At 43.0% G+C, this 10,263-nt stretch overlaps 1 protein-coding gene across 1 annotated transcript in view; it reads left to right on the top strand.

Moving 5' to 3' along the window:
- The first annotated feature begins 281 nt into the window (after positions 1 to 281).
- LSG1 (large 60S subunit nuclear export GTPase 1) overlaps positions 282 to 10,263 on the top strand; it is a 31,401-nt gene continuing 21,419 nt past the window's right edge. The window contains exons 1-5 of the mRNA NM_018385.3: positions 282 to 409; positions 2,338 to 2,464; positions 5,901 to 6,021; positions 6,184 to 6,270; positions 6,830 to 6,916. Coding sequence (NP_060855.2) covers positions 311 to 409; positions 2,338 to 2,464; positions 5,901 to 6,021; positions 6,184 to 6,270; positions 6,830 to 6,916 — 521 coding nt within the window. The 5' untranslated portion in view covers positions 282 to 310. The remainder of the gene's footprint in view (positions 410 to 2,337; positions 2,465 to 5,900; positions 6,022 to 6,183; positions 6,271 to 6,829; positions 6,917 to 10,263) is intronic.

Here is a 10,263-nt window from a genome sequence, read left to right as displayed (position 1 = left end):
CCGGACGCTAAAGACCGACGCACAAATTAAGAATGGACCATTCTTTTAACTCAGTCATTTATCCAAACTCGAGACATTCGCCAGGAAATCTATCGAAAATTTCCCAGAACCATTTTTTCACTTATATTCTATAATACTGGTAAAATCGAGACGTAAAAGGAGAACTTGAGAACAAGTCATTCTGCTTTCCCCTCTCAAGTTTGAGCCTGAACTACTTGGGCTCGCTTATCGTCACTTCCGGGGATCGAACTGTGAATCCCGGAAACTGCACGCGCCGAGCCGGGAAGCTTCGTCCAGCGGTCGTGTTGCCATGGGCCGGAGGAGAGCCCCGGCCGGTGGGTCGCTGGGACGGGCCCTTATGCGCCATCAGACTCAGCGGAGCCGAAGCCATCGTCACACTGACTCCTGGGTAAGACAGACCATGTCATCTTTCTTATCTTTTCTGTCTAGCCTGAGTGCTGCAAAATTCGGGGTCAAAAGTCAGATAAGTTTTGCAGGAGGGACGCCTCAGCCGGGTTTTGAAGGATGAGTTGGAGTTTCTGCCAAGCTGAGTAGCAGGCCCTCCTCCTGGCAAGGCCCAGAACACAAAGGTAGGAGAAGCTTGAAAGAAGAGTTAGTGTGGTGATGAGGCGTGGAGTGAGAATCTGAAGAGTCTTCAATGCCAGGTCTTGAGTACGTTTGGGTTTTGCCCTAGAAGCCACTGAAGTGCTTGGAACTTCCAGAGCAGGAAAAAGACAAAACGTATTTTTGTATTGATTTGTTCAAAGAATGGATCCTCCAGAAGCGGTTGGTTACTGCCAGAAATATAAAATAATTCAGATCCTTGCCTCATCCTTGCGAAGCACCCCCTAGTGGTTTAGCTCAAAGATAAATCATTGATTTTTCAGGTGTGACAAGACCTAATATTTTACTAGGTTATAGAAGGATCTTTAAAAAAATGAATGAAGTGATTTGGCTTGTGTTCATCATTCTAGTCGTTATTTTCACCATTCATTCCCCCGGGAATGAATGAGAACATGTTGAGTGCTAAGATCGTGTGCTAAATTTAGTTAAATATGTCCCTGGAGCTAAGTAAGCGTGTGCCACTGTCACACCAGCTGACTTTCATCCATATAGTCTGCAGAGTAAACAGCATGGAGTGCTTATCAGTATTCATCAGGTCAGAGTTACTCTGGACATTAGATTACTGGTAATTTTTATTAGCTTTGAAGCAACTTGTTACTAATGAAGCCTTTTAGGAAACTGTGGGAAGATTGAACATGAATGGTAAAGAATTGGATCCTAATTCCTTATTTTTGCTGATTCTATGCCCACTTAAACTTTTGGCCCTTAATATTTATTTAGGAAATTCATTCATCATTCAGTTATTCATTTTTAGAGACAGGGTCACACTCTGTCACCCAGGCTAGAGTGCCAGTGGTGTGATCATAACTCACCAATTCACTACAGTCTCAAACTTCTGGGCACAAATAATCCCCCTGCCTCAGTCTCTTGAGTAGCTGGCATTACAGGTGCACACCATCAGGCCTGGTTGTTTGGTTTTGTTTGTTTGTTTTGGAGAGACAGGGTCTTGCTGTGTTGCCCAAGCTGATCACAAACTCCTGGCCTCAAGCAATCCTCCTGCCTTAGCCTCTTGAGGAGCTGGGGTTACAGGCACAAACCACCACGCCTGGCAATTTTTTTTTATTTGTATCTATACTAAGTATATAGCTTAGGGTGATGGTTATCAAACTCTGGGTTGTGTCTGGAAGTCAATTTAGTGGTCTGCAGCTAGCTGTTTTGTTTTGTTTTTATTTTTTCCCCAGCAAGATAGAGAAATATCAGAATGTTGCATGTAATAGGGTGTGGTTTCAGTATTCTTCTATTGCCATTTTACTGTACTGAACGGTACTTGAATGCTTGTATCATTATATGTACATACACCTTTGGGTCACTATGTAAAATGTATTTCTTATTGTGGGATTATATCAAATAAAGTTTTGACTAATTTTGACTAGCACAGTCAGACAATCTGGGTTCAAGTTCTACCTGTGCCATTTAGATTTTGACTATAGGCAAGTTATTTTATCTGCTGAAGCCTTAGTTTCATCATCAGTAAAATGGAAATACAGTAAAATTCACCTCAAAAGATTTTGAAAATTAATGAAATGGTGAAAGGGAACTGCCTATTGTGAGGTAAGAACGTGTTCCTTTAAACATTAACTATAAGTAGTATTGATTCTAAAGGGACTACAACCACCCTCAAGACCATAGACTAGTTGCAAGGAATTTTAGAGCTTATTGGATGCCAAGAGCAGAAGAGAGCAGCTGTATTTATCACCCTGTGTTTTTTCATAGTTGCACACAAGTGAACTCAATGATGGCTATGATTGGGGTCGTCTTAATCTTCAGTCAGTGACTGAACAGAGCTCCCTTGATGACTTCCTTGCTACTGCAGAACTTGCAGGAACAGAGTTTGTAGCTGGTAAGTTGTTTATTGCTGAGTGCAGGTGAGACTGTCACATTTCCATCTGGGGCTGAGGTTTTTTTTGTTTTTTGTTTTGAGATGGAGTCTCGCTCTGTCACCCAGGCTGAAGTGCAGTGGCGTGATATCAGCTCACTGCAGCTCCGCCTCCTGGGTTCAAGCAATTCACCTGCCTCAGCCTCCCAAGTAGCTAGGACTACAGGCACGCACTGCCACGCCTGGCTAATTTTTGTATTTCTAGTAGAGATGGGGTTTCACCATGTTGGCCAGGATGTTCTTGATCTCCTGACCTCGTGATTCGCCTTCCTTGGCCTCCCAAAGTGCTGGGATTACAGGTGTGAGCCACCGTGCCCGCCCTGAGTCTTGAACAATGAGTAGATGTTCAAAGGACAGATGAGATAAGACCTTTTACACAGACAGGCAGAGGACTCGAGCCCAGATGTGAAGCAGCAGCCAACTTTGTTCAGAAAATGGCTAGAAGTTTGGCTTTGCTGGTGCAGGGGGCGGGATGTGATGAGCACAGGTGCTGAGGAGGTGGGCAAGGGCCAGATTCTGGAGAGAACAAAGGTTTAAGGCTTTACAGGGCTTTAAGCACGTGTACAACATGATTTCAGATTTCATTGTTTAGTGTTTTTTGGGGGGATGTGTGGGTTCCAGCTTTAATGAGCTACACAATTGGCAACTAAAAATTGTATATAGTTATAGTATATAGTGTGACGTTTGGTTATATGTATATATTGTGAAATGATTACTAAAATCAAGTAATTAACGTATCCATCACCTCACATTGTTTTTTTGTGTGTGCGGTGAGAACAAGATATATACTGTCTTAGCAAATTTCATATTATTAACTAATAAATGTGTTATTATTAACTATGGACACCAGGCTGTACATTAGACCTCCAGAACTTATTCATCCTGCCTCAGTAAAACTTTACCGTTTGACCAGTATCCTCCTATTTGCCCCACTCCCTAATCTCTGGTAACCACCATTTTCTCTCTGCTTCTATGAGCTCGGCTTTATTCCACGTATAAGTGAGATCATGTGGTATTTGTCTTTCTGTGCCTGGGTTATTTCTCATAGCAGAGTGGTTCATTCATATTGTCACAAGTGTCAACATTTCCCTCTTTTGTAATGCTGAATAGTATTCCATTGTATACTACATATACCACGTTTTCTTTATCCATTCATACGTTGATGGGCATTGAGGTTGGTTCCATATCTTGGCTCTTGTGAATAGCGCTGCAGGGAACATGGGAGTGCAGGTATGTCTCATGGGTACATGAGATTTCATTTTTTAAAAGATCACTGATGAATTTTAAGGAAGCAAGATGAGTTAGGAGACTGTATCACTTTAGTCTAGCAAAATAGGCCAGAACTGAAATACAGGTAGTAGAAGAAGGGAGAAAATAAGAGGAACAAGAACACTTAAGGAGCTAGAGTAAACCAGACTTGATGGAGAGGGTAGTGTAAGTGAAAAAGAGTGAAGGGACAAAAATAAACTCCTGGGTTTCACAGTGAAATAACCACTTCACCCACTAGGATAGCTAAAATAAAAGAGACTATAACAAATGTTGGTGAGGATGTAGAGAAATTATAACACCATACATCGCTGTGGGAGTATAAAATGGTGTAGCTGTTTTATAAAAAAATTTTGGCAGTTCCTCAAAAGGTAAAACATGGAATTACCATCTGATCCAGCAGTCCCACTCCTGGGTATATGCCCGAAAGAAATGAAAACATGTCTACACAAAAATATGTGCATGTGTATTCATAGCAGCATTATTCGTAATCACCAAAAAGTGGAAACACCAAAAAGTCCTAAAGAGGCAAATCTACAGAAAGTAGATGATTTCCACCAGGTACCTGGGGGTGTACAGTGACTGCTAATGGGTAAAGCTTTCTTTTTGGAGTGATGAAAATATTCTAAAATGGATTGTGGCAATGGCTGCACAACTCTGTGAATATACTGAAAATTATTGAATTGTATGCTTTAGTGGGTGGATTGTATAGTATGTGAATCATATTGTAGTAAAGCTATATATATATATATATATATATATATTTTTTTTTTTTTTTTTTTTGAGACGGAGTCTCTCTCTTGTCGCCCAGGCTGGAGTGCAGTGGTGCGATCTCAGCTCACTGCAACCTCTGCCTCCCAGGTTCAAGCGGTTCTCCTGCCTCAGCCTCCTGAGTAGCTGGGATTACAGGCATGCACCACCACCCCTGGCTAATTTTTGTATTTTTACTAGAGACGGGGGTTTCACCTTGTAGGCCAGGCTGGTCTCGAACTCGTGACCTTGTGATCCGCCCACCTTGCCCTCCCAAAGTGCTGGGATTACAGACGTGAGCCACCGCACCTGGCTGCTATTTTCTTCTTAAAGTCATTAGTAATATCTGCCAGAACAGTTTTAGTGGAGTGAGAGAGCCACAGCTGGAATCTAGAGAAACAGGAAGTGGGAGGTGAGGAAATCAAGGAATGAGCAAGTTGTATTCTCCTGAGATAGCTGACTATGGCAGGGAAAGAGAAGTGTAAGGGTGTGTATGAGAAGGATCAGGGTTAATGGTAGTATGTTCTTAGGTTATGGGGTGAGACAGTAGAGAGGGAAGTTGGAAAGATTTGTTTTGGCAGTATCTGTTCGAAGTTTACAGTTGCAGGCTGGGTGCGGTGGCTCATGCCTGTAACCCCAGCACTTTGGGAGGCCGAGGCGGGCGGATCACCTGAGGTCAGTAGTTCGAGACCAGCCTGGCCAACATGGCAAAACCCCGTCTCTACTAAAAATACAAAAATTAGCCGGGCGTGGTGGTGCGGGCCTGTAGTCCCAGCTACTCAGGAGGCTGAGTTGGGAGAATTGTTTGAGGTTGCAGTGAACCGAGACTGTGCCACTTCACTCCAGCCTGGGTGACAGAGTGAGACTCTGTCTCAAAAAAAAAACAGAAGACAAAGAAAGCAAGTTTACAGTTTCATATCCTATGAGCCAGCACCTCTACTTCTCAGCATCTACCCCAGAGCAGCAGAATTGCCCGGAGAACTCTTTCATACAGATTCCTGGCCCTATCCTCTAGACTCCAGAGCATCTATTCAGTGAGTGGGGGTTAGAGCTGCAGCATTTACATTTTTAACAAGCTACCAGATGATGCTGTATTTTAATAATGAAAACTTGGAAACTGAATGTTCAATAGCAGGGAAAATGTGATATAGACACAGTATGAAATACTGTGTGGCAGTCAAAAAGAATGTAGTAACTCTGGATAGTTATTTGGTATAAAACTTCATTTGGGAATAATAATTTACCCAAGGCTAGAAGAATCTAAATCAAGAAATCTTAAGTTCTCTTAGGCTCTCATTTTTAGTTTTCTCAGTTTATCAGTATGACCAAACACTCTGTATCTATACTGCCTCTTAAGTAATAGTACTTTTCTTTATTTGAACAGAGAAACTTAATATTAAGTTTGTGCCTGCTGAGGCTAGAACTGGACTACTGTCTTTCGAGGAGAGCCAGAGAATTAAGAAGCTCCATGAAGAAAACAAACAGTTCTTGTGTATACCGAGGAGGTGAGCTGAAGAAGAATTTAGAATGCCACAAAACATCCGAGGCTGCTGAGTATTCATTTTTTAAATTGCTTCTTTTTCTCAGCTGCCATTATTAGATCCAAATTACCTATTTTATTTTGGTTACTTATATGAGGAATTTTTTTCCTTCTATGATTGTTTCAGACCAAACTGGAACCAAAATACTACCCCAGAAGAACTCAAACAAGCAGAGAAAGATAACTTTCTAGAATGGAGACGTCAGCTTGTCCGGTGAGTATTATAGACTCTATGAAGACTTACTTTGAAATCCTGAGTTCAGATATTTGGCATGCTTACACAGCCATTTGTGTTTTGAAGTTTTGATTCTTTTAAGAAGGAAATGGTAGCATTCTGCTAACAAGTGCAAATAGATGTATGCACAAACAAGATTGCTAGGTGCAAATGCATCCTTGCACAGAGATCGTGAGTTGGTTACTCTGCTCAGTTCCGGGCCTTTTCCTTTCATTCCCTTCTTTGGCCATTGGGCATCCTGGAGTTGATCGCTGCTCTCCTGCACATTTTTCCAGTAAGAGTGTGGGAAAGAAATGACTTTGTGTGATAGGTAAACTTCCAGGGCATAAATAGCTTCAGGATAAAATTTGAATTTGGTGGAGTATTGTCTAAATAAATAGTATTTTTATGGTGTCTCAGCAGGAAATATATAAAATAATTTGACTCTGGATATTTGTGCCCAGTACTTATTTTTAATGTAATAAATTTGAGCATTTACACTGCTAAAAATTGTCTATTATAATCTGGCAAATATATAAACTTCTCATTCAAAAACTAGGCTAGAAGAGGAACAGAAGCTGATATTGACTCCATTTGAACGAAATTTGGACTTTTGGCGCCAGCTCTGGAGAGTCATTGAGAGAAGGTGAATTATCATTTTCTTTTGTGTAATAAAGACATTGTAGTGAAGTTATATTCGATTTGGCTGTTGATATAGGCTTATAGGCTCAGGGTATGGGAATTAAGCTATGCAGAGGGTTACTGAGAATTATAAAAACACAGCATGATACTACCGTATATTTTGTATAGTTTTTTTGTTGTTAGATGAATATGTTGATAAGTGTGTGAGAATAATGAACATTTTCTGCAAGGTGAATTCTGAAGCACCTATATAGATATTTTAGCAAATGTATATTTGGTTTCTACTGGTAATGTGGAAAATATGGATACGAAAAAGAGTTAAGTTCCTGCCTGCAAAGAGCATCTATGTTATGGGGAGAGGCGAATGTCAGAGCTCCTGTCAGCCGAGTTACACCATGTTCAGCTAAATGCTAAGCAAAGCACCAGGCACCAGGGACACACAGATGAATGACATGCAATTCTTGCACTCAGAAAACTTAATACGTAGTGAAATACAGAGGGCAGTATGATTCCTGCTTTGCTGCAGATAGAAAGGCAGTGGGCTGAGTCATAGCAGAGGAAGGAGTGGTTGATAAGTATTGAGGAAATCACGGGGTGGTTTTTATGTTTTTTATTTATTTATTTATTTATTTATTTATTTGAGACGGAGTTTTGCTCTTATTGCCCAGGCTGGAGTGCAATGGCACGATCTCAGCTCACCACAACCTCCGCCTCCTGGGTTCAAGCAGTGCTCCCGCCTCAGCCTCCCAAGTGGCTGAGATTACAGGCGCACACCACCACGCCCAGCTAATTTTTTTTTTTGTATTTTTAGTAGAGACAGGGTTTCACCATGTTGGTCAGGCTGGTCTCGAACTCCTGACCTCGTGATCCACCCGCCTCAGCCTCCCAAAGTGCTAGGATTACAGGCATGAGCCACCATGCCCGGCCTGGTTTTTATTTTTTTTAACTGGGCTCTGAAAAGAAGAGAATGATTTTGACAAATTGAGAATGGGAGATCTTTATTCTTTTTCATGTAATGCTAAGGAGAATTCCTGATTGTTAGAAGTTGATGAACACCTGTCTCTAATCTCACCTCTTTGGTATAGTTAAAAGGTTTCTGTTTTCCTCAAAGAGTTTCTGAATTACTTTCAAGGATGCCATAAATGAACCTTATATTTGAAATGTTTTCAACAAGGACCCTTCAGGCTGGTTTTTTTTCCTTTGAAATCTATAAAGTGAACCTAGTAAGAACACTAGGAAACAGAATGCTTTAATTGGGATTCTCAGAAAAGAATCTTATCACATTTAGCATTGTTATTAAGAAAACAGGGCCCAGCGCGGTGGCTCACACCTGTGATCCCAGCACTTTAGGAGGTCCAGGCAGGTGGATCACTTGAAGTCAGCAGTTCGATACCAGCCTGAGGAACGTGGTGAAACCCTGTCCCTACTAAAAATACAAAAATAGCCAGGCTTGGCTACTACTTGGGAAGCTGAGGCAGGAGAATCACTTGAATCCAGGAGGTGGAGGTTGCAGTGAGCCGAGATCGCACCACTGCACTCCAGCCTGGGTGACAGAGCAAGACTCTGTCTCCAAAAAAAAGAAAACAGTACTTGGACTAAACTTGTAAAAGTCACTTACATTTCCTATTAGGGTGATGACAAAGTCACTTGAATGCCCCCATCCTCAGCTCTCTACGGGTACAGAAAGGGCTCTTGGGCTGGGATGCGGGGAGGTCAGAGAAGCAAGGCAAATCTCTAAGGCAGAAGAAGGGAAAGGCTTTCTCTGAGGCAGAAGAAGGGAAAGGCTTTCTCTGAGGCGGAAGAAGGGAAAGGCTTTCTCTGAGGCGGAAGAAGGGAAAGGCTTTCTCTGAGGCGGAAGAAGGGAAAGGCTTTCTCTGAGGCGGAAGAAGGGAAAGGCTTTCTCTGAGGCGGAAGAAGGGAAAGGCTTTCTCTGAGGCGGAAGAAGGGAAAGGCTTTCTCTGAGGCGGAAGAAGGGAAAGGCTTTCTCTGAGGCGGAAGAAGGGAAAGGCTTTCTCTGAGGCGGAAGAAGGGAAAGGCTTTCTCTGAGGCGGAAGAAGGGAAAGGCTTTCTCTGAGGCGGAAGAAGGGAAAGGCTTTCTCTGAGGCGGAAGAAGGGAAAGGCTTTCTCTGAGGCGGAAGAAGGGAAAGGCTTTCTCTGAGGCGGAAGAAGGGAAAGGCTTTCTCTGAGGCGGAAGAAGGGAAAGGGTTTCTGCTGATTTGGGGTCCATGCAGGCTCCTTTTACTCAAGCTTGAGGAGGGCTTCGGAAGGCCCACAGTCATTCTCCTGGGGAACTGGGGAACTGCTGTGGAGCAGAGTAGCCTCTTCGTTGGTGCCTCCTTGGTAGTTGATGCTGTGTACTCCTGAGAATGCCCGTTTTCTAATTTCCGAAGAGAAATGGTAACAAGTGCAGAAGTACTGCAGCCCGGACCTTGAGGACAGCACCCTCCATCTTCACACTTAATTACAGTTTTTGTTTTGTTTTCAGATTTTGTCCTACTTCCTATATTATCTGTCTTTCCTCTTTGTTCCTTTTCTTTTTCTCCTGGTTTCTGACTTTTACGGAAGAGGCCTTCCTCAGGTGTCTAGTGGTGTTTATCTGTCTTTAAGAACAAAGCATTACAAAGCCGGTTGACAAGCCTGCCTGTTTAGGTGGAATTTGCCAACTGGTGAGCTTCACTGTAGGGTGCCTGGGCAGGGGTCAGTTTTATTTTGTTGGAATACCCCAAGATGTTAAGATCTGTAGGTCTTTTCCCCAGAGCCAGTCAGTTTTGTGTGTGTGTGGTTTTGTTTTGTTTTTTGAGACGGACTTTCGCTCTTGTTACCCAGGCTGGAGTGCAGTGGCGTGATCTCGGCTCACTGCAATCTCCACCTCCTGGGTTCAAGCGATTTTCCTGCCTCAGCCTCCCGAGTAGCTGGGATTACAGGCACGCGCCACCACGCCCGGCTAATTTTGTATTTTTAGTAGAGACGGGGTTTCTCCATGTTGGCCAGGCTGGTCTCGAACTCCTGACCTCAGGTGATCCACCCACTTCAGCCTCCCAAAGTGCTGGGGTTACAGGCATGAGCCACTGTGCCCAGTGCCAGTCAGTTTTTAAAAAGAAGAATGATCTCCTGCCAGGAAAGGGGCAGGAGGTGGTATAATACAAGGGTGCTGGGCACCTTCACAGTTCAGTATCTTCATAGGCTTATGCTGAATTCCCCTTTTTGCCCTATGGCAACTCTTTCCCATTTTCCCTGTGCCTGAGGTCCCAGTCCTGGAACTTGTCAAGTTCATTTTCTCCATAATAAACCCTAGCCTTCTGCTATTGGGGTGGGGAATGGGGGCTGTGTGGTGGGTTGCAGTTGCCTCAC

This window comes from Homo sapiens, chromosome 3, assembly GCF_000001405.40.
Source record: "Homo sapiens chromosome 3, GRCh38.p14 Primary Assembly".
Lineage (NCBI taxonomy): Eukaryota > Metazoa > Chordata > Mammalia > Primates > Hominidae > Homo > Homo sapiens.
The sequence above is the reverse complement of the archived record's forward strand: the minus strand, read 5'-3'. Positions and strand labels throughout refer to the sequence as shown.